At 46.3% G+C, this 18,498-nt stretch overlaps 1 pseudogene, besides 4 other annotated features; it reads left to right on the top strand.

Moving 5' to 3' along the window:
* Nucleotides 10,441-13,660: an enhancer, noted in NCBI's record as "VISTA enhancer hs1397". NCBI's record gives its function as "enhancer in: nose[6/6] | ear[5/6]" and the evidence as "EXISTENCE:transgenic organism evidence [ECO:0001131][PMID:17130149]".
* Nucleotides 11,294-11,400, top strand: RNU6-219P (RNA, U6 small nuclear 219, pseudogene; annotated as a pseudogene).
* Nucleotides 13,193-13,262: an enhancer, noted in NCBI's record as "active region_13404". NCBI's record gives its function as "activates an Ori minimal core promoter by ATAC-STARR-seq in GM12878 lymphoblastoid cells {active_cell/tissue: GM12878}" and the evidence as "EXISTENCE:reporter gene assay evidence [ECO:0000049][PMID:35858748]".
* Nucleotides 13,273-13,392: an enhancer, noted in NCBI's record as "active region_13405". NCBI's record gives its function as "activates an Ori minimal core promoter by ATAC-STARR-seq in GM12878 lymphoblastoid cells {active_cell/tissue: GM12878}" and the evidence as "EXISTENCE:reporter gene assay evidence [ECO:0000049][PMID:35858748]".
* Nucleotides 13,853-14,843: an enhancer, noted in NCBI's record as "OCT4-NANOG-H3K27ac-H3K4me1 hESC enhancer chr18:56475059-56476049 (GRCh37/hg19 assembly coordinates)". NCBI's record gives its function as "activates a minimal SCP1, AML or CMV promoter by ChIP-STARR-seq in primed H9 embryonic stem cells {active_cell/tissue: H9 hESC(primed)}" and the evidence as "EXISTENCE:reporter gene assay evidence [ECO:0000049][PMID:30033119]".

The raw sequence follows: 18,498 nt of genomic DNA on the forward strand, positions 1-18,498 counted from the left end.
TTGCAGTGAGCCGGGATCACTGCACTGCACTCCAGCCTGGGCGACAGAGTGAGACTCTGCCTCAAATAAATAAATGCTTGCTTCTGCAAACGAGGAATCAGCACGCTATAGCCTGCAGGCAAATCTGGCCTGCAGCCTGTTTTTGTACTATCCACAAGTTAGGAATGGCTTTTCCATTTTTTACAGCTTGTAAAGAAAAAATGAAAATGCAACAGAGACCATATGTGGCCCACAAAGCCTAAAAGATTTATTACCTGGCACTTTAAGGAAAAAGTTTGTTTATCTCTGCTATTTGCCATCAAAAAGTCAAGGGTTTTTTCTGTCCTTTGCCTTCCTGCACAAATAGAGGTGGGTGGTTTCATATTTTTGTTTGTTTTTAAGTTAAAGGGGATTTAAAGATGTTTCTAAGCATGGAACAGAAGCCAGTGGCGATAAAGGACGGGAGCAGTTGGAAAAACAGAAGAGAGGGATGTTAATTAAAGGAGCATGGTCTTGAAAAGAATGGTTTGAAGAAGCAAGTGGAGGGGAGGAAAAATGTATTTTCCTCTACCATCTTACATTCATGGCAGCAGCCCCTATAACAAAAGAGAAAAGCATACAAATGTATTTAATGTAACTTTACCATGGCATGAAGCCTTCAAAAGAAAACAAAAATCCAGGCCAGGCGCAGTGGCTCACGCCTGTAATCCCAACACTTTGGGTGGCCAAGGTGGGGGGATCATGAGGTCAGGAGTTCGAGACCAGCCTGGCCAACATGGTGAAACCCCATCTCTACTAAAAATACAAAAAGTAGCCGGGTGTGGTGGCACGCGCCTGTAGTCCCAGCTACTCGGGAGGCTGAGGCAGGAGAATCGCTTGAACCCGAGAGGCAGAGGTTGCAGTGAGTCGAGATCGTGCCACTGCACTCCAGCCTGGCAACAGCGAGACTCCGTCTCAAAAAAAAGAAAATGAAAACCCAACGAAACAGTTAAACCTGAGTATTTTAATGCTAGATTTGATGAAGGGTATACTAGTGGAGAAATATGAGGTAGCAAAAAACTGTGATCTAATGGCAATAAACTGGGGGAGGCTTGGCAAGCTTGTTCAGATTCTCTGCCTCCCTGGGTCTTCAGAGATGAAGACGCTCTTGTTCTCTGGGTAGAAGGAGGGTATCTGTTACATGAGGATTTCATGACCTGCTTCAGGGAAAGGTTAGAAAATCCTTCCTAAGTGTTATAACCTGCTTCAGGGAAAAAGCAGAGAAAGTCAGATCTTCCTGCACAAACTCTTTTTTTAAAATTAACTTATTTTTTTTAGAGATAAGGTCTTACTCTGTTGCCCAGGCTGGAGTGCAGTGGCACCATCATGGCTCTCTGCTGTCCCAAGCTCCTGGGCTCAACCCATCCTCCCACTGCAGCTTCCCGGGCAGCTGGAGCTACAGATGCACCACTGTGCCCAGCTAATTTTTAAATTTTTTGTAAAGATGGGCATCTCACTATGTTGCCCAGGCTAGTCTTAAACTCCTGGCCTCAAGCAATTCTCCCACCTTAGCCTCCCAAAGCACAGGGATTACAGGCACACACCACCGCAACCGGCCCACACATTATTTCAGCTTAAAATATTTGAGGGTAGAATGTCCTGAATCCCAACAAAGGGTCACCTCTTTCTCTAAGGCTGGTGGAAATGGCTTAGGATCTCGTCCAATGGAGAAGACGCTGGGATGGGAGGAGTGGGATAAAGGTGCGATGGGCCTGTCAAGAAGAAAAGGAAGGCTGGGCGTGGTGGCTCACGCCTGTAATCCCAGCAGTTAGGGAGGCCAAGGCGGGCAGATCACCTGAGGTCAGGAGTTTGAGACCAGCCTGGACAACATGGTGAAACCCCATCTCTATTAAAAATACAAAATTAGACCAGCCTGCCCAACATCGTGAAACCCCCAACTCTACTAAAAATATAAAACATTAGCCGGGCGTGGTGGCGAGTGCCTGTAATCCTAGCTGCTCGGGAGGCTGAGGCAGAAGAATCACTTGAACCTGGGAGGCAGAGGTTGCAGTGAGCCGAGATCGTGCCATTGCACTCCAGCCTGGGCAACAAAAGCGAAACTCCATCTCAAAAAAAAAAAAAAAAATTAGCTGGGCATAGTGGCATATGACTGTAGTCCCAGCTACTTGGGAGGCTGAGGCAGGAGAGTTGCTTGAACCCAGGAGGCAGAGGTTGCAGTGAGCTGACATCACGCCATTGCACTCCAGCCTGGGCAAGAAGAGCAAAACTGTCTCAAGAAAGAAGAAAAGGAGAGGAGGCCAACAAAGGCAGGCAAAGACAGGACTGTCCATGGGGCAGTGGTACCCACCTACTGGTCAGGAAAACCTGCCAAAGACTTGCAAATGGGCAAGAGAATCCTGGTGACCTTGTGGTAGTAGAGTGCTGGGTGTTTCTAGAGGGCCTTCCAGGAATGATCTGACTCCAGAGGCATGTGTCTTGGGTTGTTTGTGATTGGCTAAGCTATTTAACAATTCTGTAGGGATAAAGTTGTAGAAAACTGACAACATAAATTTTCCTTGTCCATCGGAATGCACAGATTCCTGATCATAGCAATGCAAAAGAATCATGTCTTTACAGAAAAAAAACTCTGTAAATTAAATTCTCATTTGAACCAATTTTAGCAGCTTACTGGTTTCCACATTCACCAATGAATTAAAATCTTTGATACATGTTCATTTTATATTTCCATGAGTCAGGATTTTACTTTCTTGAAAACTAGAATTTAGCATAGGTCTTTTAAAAACAACAATAGGCCAGTTGCAGTGACTCACACCTGTAATCCCAGCACTTTGGGAGGCTGAGGCAGGTGGATCACCTGAGGTCACGAGTTTGAGACCAGCCTGGCCAACATGGTGAAACCCCGTCTCTACTAAAAATACAAAACTTAGCCGGGCGTGGTGGTACGCACCTGTAATCCCAGCTACTCGGGAGGCTGAGGCAGGAGAATTGCTTGAACCTGGGAGGCCAACGTTGCAGTGAGCTGAGATCACACCACTGCACTCCAGCCTGGGCAACAGAGCGAGACTACATCTCAAAATAAAAAATAAAGAGAAAACAGAAAAAAAAAAAAAAAGAAAAAAAGACAATAAACAGTCTTGGAGATTAAAAACAAAACACAAAAGATAAGATGGGGCCAGGTGTGATAGCTCATGCCTGTAATCCCAACACTTTGGGAGGCCGAGGCAGGAAGATCACTTGAGGCCAGGAGTTCAAGAGCAGCCTGAGCAGCATAGTGAGACCCCATCTCGGCTAAAAATTTAAAAATTAGCCAGATGTGGTGGCACGTGCCTATTGTACCAACTACTTAGGAGGCTGAGGCAAGAGGATTGCTTGAGCACAGGAGGTCGAGGCTGCAGTGAGCCCTGATGGTGCCACTGCACTCCAGCCTGGGTAACAGAGTGAGACCCTGTCTCAAAAACAAAAAGGTGGCCGGGCACGGTGGCTCACGCCTGTAATCCCAGCACCTTGGGAGGCCGAGGTGGGCAGGTCACGAGGTCAGGAGATCGAGACCACGGTGAAACCCCGTCTCTACTAAAAATACAAAAAAATTAGCTGGGCGCGGTGGCGGGCTCCTGTAGTCCCAGCTACTCGGGAGGCTGAGGCAGGAGAATGGCGTGAACCCAGGAGGCAGAGCTTGCAGTGAGCCGAGATCGCGCCACTGCACTCCAGCCTGAGCGACAGACCGAGACTCCGTCTCAAAAAAAAAAAAAAAAAAAAAAGTGATTTTTAAGGTTTAATAGGCCGGGCAGCCTCCTTCCACGAGCACTGTGTGTGCCACACATTGCCTAGGAATTAAGAAAACTACAATTTGCACATTGCTTTCTCAGCTGTAGGAGCTGTTTTTCAACCCTGTGAGTTTACAAAACTGATAGTAATGATTCCTGCACAGACATGCAAATGAATTTTGTCCAGTTGAGGTGCAATTGATCCCAACCTGCTACCACCACCACCTCTGAAGCCAGTTTTGCCTCTATTAATAAAGGTACTCACTCAGCGTTCCTAACTGACTATATATTTATGTGTCTTGCTGTTTAGCGTCTCCTTCAAATTGGTTTTTAAAGCTTTACTGGCTCCCCCATTAATTAATGAGTTAAATAAAATCCTTGACACATATCTATTTTATAGCTGTATGAAACTCATTTCATTTTTTAAATGATTTTACAATGTTTTTAAACAAATAATCTGTCAGGATTCTCTCTGAACCTATTCTGGTTCTGGAGGCTGCCTGATTCGCAAATTAAAAAAAAAAAAAATTATCTGTCGGCCGGGCGCAGTGGCTCATGCCTGTAATCCCAGCACTTTGGGAGGCCGAGGTGGGCGGATCATGAGGTCAGGAGTTCGAGACCAGCTTGGCCAACATGGTGAAACCCCGTCTCTACTAAAAATACAAAAATTAGCCGGGCGTAGTGGCGGGCACCTGTAGTCCCAGCTACTCGGGAGGCTGAGGCAGGAGAATCGCTTGAACTCGGGAGGCAGTGGTTGCAGTGAGCCGAGGTTGTGCCACTGCACTCTAGCCTGGGTGACAAAGAGAGACTCTATCTCAAAAAAAAAAAAAAAAATCTGTCAACTACATCTAAGGTATCTCATTAATGAGTCACTACAGCCTCGTGAGGAGATCTCGACTGCCATTGTTATACCCCCATTTTGAGGATGACATAATTGAGGCACCAAGATCTTAAGGTCACATTAGCAGAGAGTGGCAGAGTCAAGGCTGGGACTTGGGAGTTTCTGACTCCAAGTCTCCTGTCCTTTCCACTGTTAAGTTAAAAAAAAAAAAAAAAAACCACCCCAGGGATGTAACTTCTTGGCCTGCCAAAAGTAGACTGCATTGGAAATTAATAAGACTGCAGGTGAGGACCAGTGCCAACAAGAAACTGGTATCTACTTATTTTTTCTTCTCTAATAGGTTCACCAAACCCAAATTCTCAAAACCTGAATGTCTCACAAGTACTTTCCAAAGTCTTTTTTTTTTTTTTTGAGACAGGATCTCACTCTGTCACCCAGCCTGAAGTGCAGTGGCACATCACAGCTCACTGCAGCCTCGACCTCTCAGGCTCAAGCGATCCTCCCACCTCAGCCTCCCTAGTAGCAGGGACTATAGGAGGATGCCACCACTGCCAGCTAATTTTTTTTATTTTTGTAGAGACAAGGTTATGCCATGTTGCCCAGGCTGGTCTCGAACTCCTGGACTCAAGTGATCCCCCTTGCCTCAGCTTCCTAAAGTGCTGGGATTACGGGTGGGAGCCACTGCACCTGGCCTTCAAAGTCTTACTGTTTTGTTTCCACTACAAATAAACCCTCTTCAGACGTATGTTAGCATTTTGGGTGGCTTCACTCAGAAGGACTCTGCATTTTTCTCTGTGTGTTCACTCCTTTTACATGAGAAGCCCAAGATTTAATGGGCACCTTAGGAGGATAAGCCAGACATTGTGCAGGACAAACACTTCACACATCTCATCTACAGGACATAATCTCTACTGCCCATAATCTCTACTGCCCTTCAGTCAGCAAATATTAATTACAGAAGGGTAATAATGTTAGCAACCCAAATATGAAAACGGGCTGGGTGCAGTGGCTCACATCTGTAATCCCAGCACTTTGGGAGGGCAAGGCTGGTGGATCACTTGAGGTCAGGAGCTCGAGACCAGCCTGGCCAACATGGTGAAATACTGTCTCTACTAAAAATACAAAAATTAGCCAGTCATGGTGGTGGGCGCCTGTAGTCCCAGCTACTCAGGAGGCTGAGGCAGGAGAATCGTTTGAGCCTGGGAGGCGGAAGTTTCAGTGACCCAAGATCGCACCACTGCACTCCAGCCTGGACGAAAAAGCAAGACTCCATCTACAAAAAACAAACATGTAAATGAACAAAGCAACAGAGGAGCTCTCCGTCAACTCGCGGGGTTTAACAGAGAGCCTCACAGATGATTGCAGTCCACTAAGCCAACCAAGGGTTGGTGGGAGCATGAGGGATCTCATCATTGAAAAGAATCATTGAAAGCTTAATAGAGCTAGAGTTTATGTTGAGACTTGAAGAATAGGTAGAAATTTGCCTAGTAAATAAGGAGATGTCAGGTCGGGTGTGGTGGCTCATGCCTATAATCCCAGCACTTTGGGAGGCTGAGGCAGGCAGATTACCTGAGGTCAGGTGTTCGAGACCAGCCTAGCCAACATGATGAAACCTCGTCTCTACTAAAAATACAAAAATTAGGCCGGGCATGGTGGCTCATGCCTGTAATCCCAGCACTTTGGGAGGCCGAGGCGGGTGGATCACAAGGTCAGAAGTTCAAGACCAGCCTGGCCAACATGGTGAAACCCTGTCTTTACTAAAAATACAAAAATTAGCTAGGCCTGGTGGCACACACCTATAATCCCAGCTACTGGGGAGGCTGAGGCAGGAGAACTGCTTGAACCAGGACCCGGGAGGTGGAGGTTGCAGTGAGCCGAGATTGCACCACTGCACTCCAGCCTGGGAGACAGAGCGAGACTCCGTCTAAAAAAAAAAAAAAAGCCAGGTGTGGTGGCGCATGCCTGTAATCCCAGCTACTCGGGAGGCTGACGCAGAAGAATCATTTGAACCCAGGAAGCAGAGGTTACAGTGAGCTGAGATCACACCATTGCACTCCAGCCTGGGCAAGAAGAGCAAAACTCAGTCTCAAAAAAATAAAAATAAAAAAAAGAAAGAGGAAGAGAGAGCACAGGGTATTTAGGAGGCAGAAACAGTCCAGAGTGGCTGCAACAATTGATAGGTAGGGGAGATTCTGAATGTGAAACTAGACAGACGTTCAGGAACAGGTCATGGCAGGCCAAGAGGAGGAAGCGTCTCTGCAGACAAACATAAAGTCATGAAGTAAGGCTGAAGCAAGGGCTGAGCATACGTCCTGCACAAAGGGTCACACAGGATACCTGCCAAGGAGGGAAAGGCACCTTCAAGAACACAGTCATACCCTGTAATTGAATCAACACCAGGCCCATCTCAACTTCGCACCCACACCCAAACCCAAGATAGGTTCCACGGTACTCAGGGTAGATATGCAGGTGAATGGAAGCTAAGAAATTGATTTGTACAGTTGTAAACATTTTCTGTCACTGGATTATTTCTTTGTGATCTGAGGTCTCCAATCTTTTTTTTTTTTTTTTTTGAGAGGGAGTCTTGCTCTGTCACCCAGGCTGGAGTGCAGTGGTGTGATCTCGGCTCACTGCAAGCTCCGCCTCCCGGGTTCACGCCATTCTCCTGCCTCAGCCTCCTGAGTAGCTGGGACTACAGGCACCCACCACCACGCCCGGCCAATTTTTTGTATTTTAGTAGAGACGGGGTTTCACCGTGTTAGCCAGGATGGTGAGGTCTCCAATCTTTTGCTATGATATTTTAGGTTGGGAAAGAAGAGGGAACATGTTCTGTGAACCTAAAGGAGAGACATTGTCCTAACAAAGCAAACTGGTAAATGTAGCAACATTAGGCTGGGCAAAGTGGCTCACACCTGTAATCCTAACACTTTAGGAGGCCAAGGCAGGAAGATCGCTTAAAACCAGGAGCTAAAGACCAGCCTGGGCATGTAGCATGACCCTGTCTCTATAATTTTTTTTTTCTTTAATTAACTGGGTGTGGTGGTGCACGCCTGTAGTCCCAGCTACTCGGGAGACTGAGGTAGGATTGTTGCTTGAGCCCGGGAGGGCAAGGCTGCAGTGAGCTGTGATCATACCACTGCACTCCAGCCTGGGTGACAGGAAAAAAAAAAAAAATTAAGGGGAATGGATGTTTTTGCCATCCATTTATCAAGGTCTTTGGGATGCTAATTGGCAGGATGCAGACGGCCCCCTTCTGAGCAGTGTTTCTGGGGACCTCTCAGGCCATAGTTCAGTGAGCAGTGCTTCTTTGCTTCTTTTCCCTCTGCCCATCTGCCATTGCCCAACCTCCCTGCCACCCCTCCCCACCTCTCACCCTTCAGAGAGCGGAAAAGTTGGTAGTTGGAATATTTTCTTCACTGACATCCTCATCTTTTGGGGGTCCTGGGGAAGCATGTGCAGAGATAAAAAGAAGAAATTAATCTGTTCTCAAGAGAGGGTCTGCCTCAGCTGCCTGACAGCTTAATCTCCCCAGGGTTCTTAAACATTCCTTTTATTTTAATGTGCTGGCTTTTTATAAAATACTGTTGAAAAGAAACAGAATTTTGGATAATTGGGCAGTAGCAACATCTTTTAAAGGAAAATGGATACAGTCTATTAATGGTATCTGTAATAAACACCTTAGGGAACAGCTCATTAATTTTTAGCAACAGGAGCCATTTAGTCCTATATCCTCTCCTTAACCAAATTCTCGCTTCTTGATTTTTTTTTCTCCCATTGATTTTGATGTAAAAAGGAAAGGGAGGACTCGCTCCTCTATACGTGCCCATCTCTCTATAGAGCATCTTTGGGGCCCCAGGACCACCTAAATGTTGGGGGTTATGTTATCATTGGAGCCACCAAGCTCATCCCTGATGCCATCCTTATCACCACATCCCATTGCCCCCTGTCTCTTTTTTTTTTTTAAGATGGAGTCTCACTCCGTTGCCCAGGCTGGAGTGCAGTGGTGTGATCTCGGCTCACTGCAACCTCTGCCTCCCGGGTTCAAGCGATTCTCCTGCCTCAGCCTCCCGAGTAGCTGGGATCACGGGCGCCTGCCACCACACCCAGCTAATTTTTGTATTCTTCATACAGGTGGGTTTTCACCATGTTGGCCAGGCTGGTCTCAGACTCCTGACCTCAGATGATCCACCCGCCTTGGCCTCCCAAAGTGCTAGGCGTGAGCCACTGCACCCAGCCGCCCCATGTCTCTTCTCAGAACATCTCTGAAGTGATTTTTCAGTGATTTTCCATGCCCCACTCATCTGAACTTTAATCCTGCATTTCTCTGTGCCAGCCTACATTTGTTGTCCTCACAACATTAAAGGTTCTTGACTGCACCCACTGTGTCTCTATTCCATCCAGCCCAATGTCTGACTCTCAGAAGGTTGTGTTAATTTTCCATTGCGCATGACAAATTATCACTGCGGGGCATGGTGGTGTGCACCTGTAGCCCCAGCTACTCAGGGTCTGAGGCCAGAGGATGCCTTGAGTCCAGGAGTTCTGGGCCTTAGTGCACTATGCCAAGTGTCTGCACTTATCAGGTGTCTGCACTAAGTTTGGCATCAATATGGTGACCTCTCGGAAGTGAGGGACCATTAGGTTGCCTAAGAAGGGGTGAATCAGCCCCGGCCAGAAATGGAGCAGGTCAGAACTCCCATGCTGATCAGTAGTGGGAACGTGCCTGAAAATAGCCACCACACTCCAGCCTGGGTAACATAGTGAGACCCCTTCTCTAAAACAAAATAAACATAACATAGTGAGACCCCTTCTCTAAACTCATAACATAGTGAGACCCCTTCTCTAAAACAAAATAAAAATAAACAAATTACCACAAACACCGAATAGGTGTTGAAACCAGCACCTATTTTAAACTCACAGTTTTGCAGGTCAGAAGTCTGGGCAGGCCCATCTGGGTTCCCTGCTCTGGTATCACAAGGCTAAAACCAAGACGTTGGCTAGGCTGGACTCTAGGGAAGAAGCTGCTTCCAAGTTCATTCAGCTTGTTGGCAAAATTTAGTTCTGTGCAGCTATGAGACTGAGGTCCCTGCTACCTTGTGGGCTGTCAGCCATGGGTCACTCTCATCTCCTAGAAGCTGCTCTTTGGTCCTTACCTGTGACCTCCTCCATCTTCAAGGTGCATCAAATTCTTATGCTTTCAATCTCTCTGACCTCCCTTTTTGCCATCAACTGGATAAAACTCTCTGCTTGTAATGGATTTGTGATTAGATTAGAGCCCCTGGAAAATCCCCCTTTGATTAACTCTGAATCAACTGATTAGTGACCTTAATGACATCTGCAAAACCACATTTTGCCAGGTAATGGAGCCTAATCAGGGTATTCCTAGACCATGGGATGAGAACAGGAAATTTCATGAATGGGGTCACTTTAGGATTTTTCCTACCACAAGTGTCTCGGAATATACGCAAGAGCAAGAATTATTGGGGTAGGATGATCTCCACCCAAGCAATTTCTGTCTACTGTCCTTGCTATGACAAATCCTGACCTGGCCCATGACCGGCTAACAACTGTGTAGACCTAACTGGATGCCATGATCCCAACTGGGTACCTCATGTACACAGTAGAGGGAGCCGAGTGACACCAACACTCACATCTGGTTCCCTCTGGCAAGTCCAAGGGTTATCTAATGCACTAGCCCCTCAGCCACACTCAGAGACTGCTTTCCTAAATTGGGACAGAGATCATTCTTGATCCTTTAGCTTTAAAAGACACCATTTCACATTCCCTAAACTCATCCCCTAGAGCCTAGACTCTAGACTGGTCTAGGGTCCTTTGCTTGAGAGTAAATCTTTTCCATTCACCCCTCAATCCTTGGTTTCTTAGTCTTTTAATTTGTATTTTGTAGCCAGGTGCAGTGGCTCACATCTGTAATCCCAGCACTTTGGGAGGCCGAGGCTGGCAGGATCACCTGAGGTTGGGAGTTCGAGACTATCCTGAACAACATGGAGAAACCCCATCTCTACAAAATATAAAATTAGCTGGGCCTGGTGGTGCACGCCTGTAATCCCAACTACTCAGGAGGCTGAGGCAGGAGAATTGCTTGAACCCGAGAGGTGGAGGTTGCGGTGAGACGAGATCACACCACTGCACTCCAGCCTGGGCAACAACAGCGAAACTCCGACTCAAAAAAAAAAAATTATATTTTGTTTGTTGGACCAGAGATCTCCCTGCTCTTGGATCTGGTGTCCTTACCCATTAGTGCATACCCTCCCCTGTACCCACAGCTTCCTTCCTTCTCTCTGCAGCTCCCAAAAGCCTTTCTTCTTCTCTAACTACAGGTGTGAGAACCTCCACTCCCCACCCCAGATGCCCCTATTTCAGTGTCTTGCCACAGGTCTCTCTTGCTAACTCTGTATGTCAAATGCCTGGCACATGGCAGCCATCAGTTTCTATCCTCAAATTGACTAAATGATTGAATGTATGAATGAATTGGTGAGTTGAGTCATCTATTACTCTATCAGCACCATGGGACTGCCTCTCTGTTTATAGGATCGTTCATTCATGTATCCCTAGGAATACAAAGATAAATGTGAATAGGATAAACATTTTTCCTAGACTGTTGAAGAATTTGTGCTCAGTATAAGATCTGGGGCATTTCATACCTTTGGGTTAAGTTTTCTGAGCCCAAAAATGTCTTTAAAAATCAACTTCTGTGCTTACTTTGGCAGCACATATACCAAAATTGGAACAATATGGAGAAGATTCACATGGCCCCTTTGTAAGGATGACATGCAAATTCATGAAGCATCCCATAGTTTAAAATAGTAAAATAAATCAACTTCTAGAAGCACAAGCTACTGTCAAATTTAATCATTATGACTCCAGGTCTGCCAATCCAAAGAGTGATCGAATTTCTTTCTTTTGTGAAATACAGCATTCTCTTTGTTTTTCACTAAAAGAGACACTTAAATTTGCTTCCCACCAGGTCTGAAGCTGGTGCCTAATGTGGCTGAAAATGTTATTGAGCCCAGTGAGGAAATCCAATGCCCTCGGGCTGCCGGGCTGAATGGCAGCCCTGTTTCCAAGGGCATCCTCCTTTGTCTGCCTGGAGTCTCAAATGACATGTTTGGACACAAAGCCTCTTAGGTAGAAATTACTACATTAGCAGACATTCCTAATTTGCAGCTAGGTTTATTATTTCAAAGTCTTTTATCACGATTAGACTTCAATGAGGTTTTACAGCTGTGCAGCAACCCTCATTTGGAAATATGTTTTATTATGCTGTTTATTAGTTTTTCTCGTTTATCTTTCTTTTTTAAGGTCTCCTCTTTGAAAGACAGCCATCTGCGTTGAAATTTTCCAGGGAGGATTTTACTCTCTTCCCATCAAGGTCATTTTGTAACCTCTCTGAGATACTTATCGTTATGAGTTTAAAACCTTTCTATGTGAAGACAGCAGAGAGGAGATTGCTGACGGGGCCTAGGAAAGTCAGAGTCCTTGTGGAACTGGGGGAAAGAGAGGCCATTTTCCTAACGACTATTATTCTGAGGCTGGAGATTAAGTAGCTCCTTATACAGGCTGCTTTAGGCCAAGGAACTCTGGAGCATAGGAATCATAGGAGAGCAGGTGTGTTTCCCCCACTCACTAACTGCATTGATTATATTTTATAATGATTATGATTGTGGTTATGATTTGTTTTTAAACTGAGTTTCGCTCTTGTTGCCTGGGCTGGAGTGCAATGGCACAGTCTCGGCTCACTGCAACCTCCGCCCCCTGGGTTCAAGCAATTCTCCTGCCTCTGCCTCTTGAGTAGCTGGGATTACAGGCGTGCGCCACCACGCCCAGCTAAACCCCACATAGAGACGGGATTTCTCCATGTTGGTCAGGCTGGTCTCGAACTCCCAACCTCAGGTGTTCCACCCGCCTCGGCCTCCCAAAGTGCTGGGATCACAGGCATACCTGGCCAATTTTATTATTTTCTTTTTTTTCTCTCTCTCTATTTTCTCTTTCTCTCTTTCTCTCTCTCTTTCTTTTTTTTTTTTTTTTTTTTTGACAGAGTCTTGCTTTGTCACCCAGGCTGGAGTGCAGCGGCCCAATCTCAGCTCACTGCAAGCTCTGCCTCCTGGGTTCACGCCATTCTCCTGCCTCAGCCTCCCGAGTAGCTGGGACTACAGGCACCTGCCACCATGCCTGGCTAATTTTTTCGTATTTTTAGTAGAGACGGGGTTTCACCGTGTTAGCCAGGATGGTCTCGATCTCCTGACCTTGTGATCCGCCCACCTCGGCCTCCCAAAATGCTGGGATTACAGGCGTGAGCCACCGCACCCGGCCTCTCTATTTTCTATATTCTTGATGCTCTGGTATCTGGGGGCTCGCTGACTTGGAAGAGACTGCCCTTCCCAGGGTTAGCCAATTTTTAGAGAGAGCAAACTCGTCCCCTGGTAGTGGGCCTTTCGTATGCAAACTAACGGATCCAGATCCCATACTCCAAGCCACCTTCTTTACCTGGCTCTTACACTCCAGGAGGCAAAATTCTTTTGCCCCAATCATCCCACGGCCAGATACTAGATGACTCGAGACACCCTCTAAGCCCCAGAGCCTGCAGAAATTATTCCAACTGGCCAATCCTAAACCTGCCTACTCTGTTGACCCTGCCGTGCCCAACCCCTCCTGTGAAAACCACAGTAAAGTTTCTCACCCTCGCTTTCCCCTGGCCCTTTCTGCCTCCTGACCCACCTGGTGTTACCCGATAGGATCCTGAATGCTGGGCCGAGGCTCCTGTTTCTAAGGAACTCTGAGTATAAAAGCTATCTTTTCAATGGTGGTCACCTCCTGATCTGTTGGCCTCACCATACCTGAATAATAACAAAACCAACATCTTAAAACACAGCTCCAATCTCACACTCCCAGAAAGTGAGAAACAGAAGAGAAACCAAAACCTATGATTACCAGTTCAATCCAGAACACTGAGAGACAGAGGAGGCTCTGACGGAGAAGGGCTGCGACCAACATCTTCTGACTGTGAACACTGTCCAAGTCAGCTTCATCAAGAGCTTGGAAAGTGGACGTTTTGTCAGGCTCATTTTGCCGATGGGCAACTACTGTTATGGGTGGTGAGTCCCTACGGGTCTGTAGCATCCTCACTTCTTGCCTCCTCAGATAAAAGAATTCGACCGAGAGGCATAAGGCAGAGGAGAGACCCAGGCAAGTTTTAGAGCAGGAGAGAAAGTTTATTAAAAAGCTTTAGAGCAGGAACGAAAGGAAGGAAAGTACACTTGGAAGAAAGCCAAGTGGGCAACTTCAGAGATCAAGTGTGCGGTTTGACCTTTTGACTTGGAGTTCTATACATTGGCATACTTCCGGGGTCTTCCATCCCTGCTCCTGTGATTCTTCCCTTGGGTGGGCTGTCCACATGCGCAGTGGCCAGCAAGCGCTTGGGAGGGGAGCATGCGCAGTGTGTTTACTAGAGTTGTACGCATGCTCACTTGAGGCGTTCTTCTCTTAACCAGTGAAATAGTGAAATGTCCCTAGAAGGTCATATACAAGTTAAACTCTGTCATTTTGCTTCTTCTTTTTTTTTTTTTTTTTCTTTTTCTGAGACGGAGTCTCGTTCTGTTGCCCAGGCTGGAGTGCAGTGGCACGATCTCGGCTCACTGCAACCTCCGACTCCCAGGTTCAAGTGATTCACTGCCTCAGCCTCCCAAGTAGCTGGGATTACAGGCACCCGCCACCGCGCCAGGCTAATTTTTGTATTTTTAGTAGAGACAGAATTTCACCATGTTGGCCAGACTGGTCTCAAACTCCTGACCTCAGGCGATCCGCCCACCTCGGCTTCCCAAAGTGCTGGGATTTCAGGGCTGAGTAACCAAGCCCGGCCTACCGTTTTGCTTCTTAATGCGCATGCTCGGGCCCACTCGCCCACCTCCTGAGATCTTATCCGGAAGCTGCTGATCACCAGCTTTAGGTATTTCTGTTTATTGGGAGATTGCCTTTCCCTGGTGCTGGCTGGGACCAATTATTATTTAGAGAGACGGCTAACAACCACCTGCCCATCACCTGATGGTTGCCTGACATTCCTGGTGTGTGGGTGGGTGGGCAGCACTCTCTGCCCTGCTCATGCCTGAGTAGCTACCTACAGTAACACTATGACTTCAGGAAGTTAAATAGTTTGTCCAGGGCCACAAAGCCACACTAGTAGGCACTACAGCCAAGATGAAAACTCAGTGTTATTTAATTGGTACTCAGTGCTAGCCCAACTCCAATCTTTATCTCAACTCCTACCCTCTGCACCTCCTACTTCATATGGGAGCTTCTCCTGGTTTCTATTCCTGAATAGTTTTGCTGTCTGTCAAACGCCTTAAAATGGAAGACATGACTACTTATGGTCTTGCGCCTTCTGCTAATTGTATTTCAGACAATCAGTGGTTTTTCCTGATATCTGATGTCCTGCAGTGTAGACTTCTTTGAGCTACATGCAGCAGGGGAAGAGGAGTCCTGGGCATGACTTATCTGCATAGAGGCAGTTTACAATTGAATCAAGGACACACAATGAACACAACAGAAGCAGGACTAGATAATACAGGGGAGCAGGCCAGGTGCGGTGGCTCATGCCTGTAATCCCAGTACTTTGGGAGGCGGAGGTGGGCAGATCACCTGAAGTCAGGAGTTCAAGACCAGCCTGGCCAACATAGTGAAACCCTGTCTCTACTAAAAATACAAAAAAATTAGCTGGGCGTGTTGGGCACCTGTAATCCCAGCTACTTGGGAGGCTGAGGCAGGAGAATCTCTTGAACCTGGGAGGCAGAGGTTGCAGTGAGCCGAGATTGCGCCATTGCACTCCAGCCTGGGCAACAAGAGCGGGACTCTGTCTCAAAAAAAAAAAGATAATACAGGGGAGCATTTAGTCAGCTGCCAGATTGCGAGGTACAAAATATACAAGTAGAAAGAGTAGAGGAGACCATTGAGGACTTCCTGGACTAGATCAGGACTTTAAAGGATGGAAAACAGTTGGGTAAAGAAAAGATAGAAGGATTGTTTTCGGATGATATGGTGGTTCTTCAAAAATTGAATTACCATACTATATGGTTTGGCTGTGTCCAAAACCATATATTTTCGGTACCTCATGTAAGTGGAATCATACAGTATTTGTCTTTTTGCGACTGGCCGATTTCACTTAGTATAATGTCCTCAAGGTTCATCTATGTTGCAGCATTTGGCAGAATTTTCTTTTTTTCAGGAAGAATAATATCCCATCATATGGAATAGTGTTCCATAATATTCCAAAATATGTACGCCACATTTTGTTGATCTGTTCATCTGTCAGTGGATGCTTGGGTCGCTTCCACCTTTTGGCAATTTTTAATAGTACTGCTATGAACATGCATGTACACGAATCTGTTTGAGTTCCTGCTTTCATTTCTTTTGGATTATATACCTGGAAGTAACATTGCTCGATATATGGTGTATTAGTCCATTCTCATGCTACTAATGAAGACATACCTGAGACTGTGTAATTTATAAAGGAAAGAGGTTTACTTTATTTATTTATTTACTTCTTTTTGAGACAGAGTTTCACTCTGTTGCCCAGGCTAGTATGCAGTGGCCCCATCTCAGCTCACTGCAACCTCCGCCTCCCGGGTTCAAGTGATTCTCCCACCTCAGCCTTTGAGTAGCTAGGATTACAGGCACCCGCCACCACACCCGGCTAATTTTTGTATTTTTAGTAGAGACAGGGTTTCACCATGTTGGCCAGGCTGGTCTCCAACTCCTGACTTCAAGTGATCCACCTGCCTCAGCCTCCCAAAGTGTTGGGATTACAGGCATGAGCCACCACTCCCGGCACTAGGGGCCTGTTGAAGGCCAAAAATAGTTCAAGGCCTGCTCAGAGAAGCAGTTTCCTAATTGCCATGAGGCAAGTACCTCCAGGCAGAGAAAGGATTTTAGAACTGGAATTAAAATCAAATCCTGGCCTGGGGTGGTGGCACTCACCTACAATCCCAGCTCAGGAAGCTGAGGTAGGAGGATCCCTTGAGCCCAGGGGTTTGAGTTCAGCCTGGGCAACATAGTGAGACCTGCATCTCTAGAAACAAATAAAACAGGTGGGGCGTGGTGGCTAGCTCCTGTAATCCCAGCACTTTGGGAGGCCGAGGCAGGTGGATCACTTGAGGTCAGGAGTTTGAGACCAGCCTGGTCAACATGGTGAAATCCCGCCTGTATTTTTTTTAATATAAAAAACATATTCAATTAAAAAAAACAAAAACAAAACAAATCCCAGTGTGATTATTTGGATGTACTGTTTCTTGAGCTAGATTGCTTAATTCTCTTTTTTTTTCTTTTTTTTTGAGACAGTCTCACTCTGTCACCCAGGCTGGCGTGTAATGGCATGATCTCAGCTCACTGCAACCTCCGCCTTCTGGGTTCAAGCGATTCTCCTGCCTCAGCCTCCTGAGTAGCTGGAATTACAGGTGCCTGCCATCATGCCCAACTAATTTTTGTATTTTTAGTAGAGATGGGGTTCCACCAGGTTGGTGAGGCTGGTCTTGAACTCCTGACCTCGTGATCCACCCGCCTCGGCCTCCCAAAGTGCTGGGATTACAGGCGTGAGTCATGGCGCCCGGCACTTAGTTCTGTTTATTATTATTATACCCTTGTCTCAACACCCATTGCTGGGCTCATTAAAACCCACGGGTCATCCTAAGACCACTTTTCAAAATTTCTTGACCAGTTCTTTCTCAAAACCCCCTAGCAAGAAGCTAAAATAGACTTTCTGGTCTTCCCTTGTTTCCTTACCATTCCCTGAAAATCCAGCGACAGAGGCCAGTAGCAAAAATGAGGAAAAGTCAGGATGCAAGCAGAGAACTCATGTGGGATTTTAAATTAATTGAGAGTTATTTATATCAGTTTTTATTCCAGAGATTTCCTGGTGTCTTGTTAGCCGAAGATGATGAGTATGCAGTTTGACAATTTTTTTTTTAATGAGCCTGTTTTTTTTCTTTTTTTCTTTTTTAAAGATAGGAGTCTCATTATGTTGCCCAAGGTGGCTTCGAACTCCTGTGCTCAAAGGATCCTCCTGCCTCATCTTGCTAAGTAGCTGGGAAAATGGGCCTATTTTGAAAACAGTTAATTGTACTAATGAAGCTTGATAACCTTATAATAGATTTTCTTTTGAAGTTCTTCTGCCAAAACATGGTGAAATAATAGGCACATTTCTCTGTTAGTCATATTTATAATCCGGGATTCTTTCTGAGCAAATGTCACTCTCCATTCAGGCTGCTGTGGAATATCATCTATCTTTGCAAATATTTACTTTCACACCTCCCATTTCAAGTGAGTTTTCTAACAATTTAAGCCCTTGTCCACCCTTCTTTGGATGATCCACCACACCTGGCCCCACTGCAGATTTCATAATTTTATTTTATATATTTATATATTTATTTATTTATTTATTTTTGAGACAGAGTCTCGCTCTGTTGCCCAGGCTTGAGTGCAGTGGCGGGGTCTTGGCTCACCGCCAGCTCTGCCTCCCAGGTTCACGGCATTCTCCTGCCTCAGCCTCCCGGGTAGCTGGGACTACAGGCGCCCGCCACCACGCCTGGCTATTTTTTTGTATTTTTAGTAGAGACAGGGTTTCGCCATGTTAGCCAGGATGGTTTCGATCTCCTGACCTCGTGATCCATCCGCCTCGGCCTCCCAAAGTGCTGGGATTACAGGCGTGAGCCACCACGCCCGGCTATTTATTTATTTTTTTTCAGAGACAGTCTCGCTCTGTCGCCTAGGCTGGAGTGCAGTGGTGTGATCTCGGCTCATTGCAACCTCCACCTTCCAGGTTCAAGCAATTCTCCTGCCTCAGCCTCCCGCAAAGCTAGGATTACAGGCGCATGCCACCATGCCTGGCTAATTTTTTTGTTTTGTTTTGTT

Source organism: Homo sapiens, chromosome 18 (genome assembly GCF_000001405.40).
Source record: "Homo sapiens chromosome 18, GRCh38.p14 Primary Assembly".
Classification (NCBI taxonomy): Eukaryota; Metazoa; Chordata; class Mammalia; order Primates; family Hominidae; genus Homo; species Homo sapiens.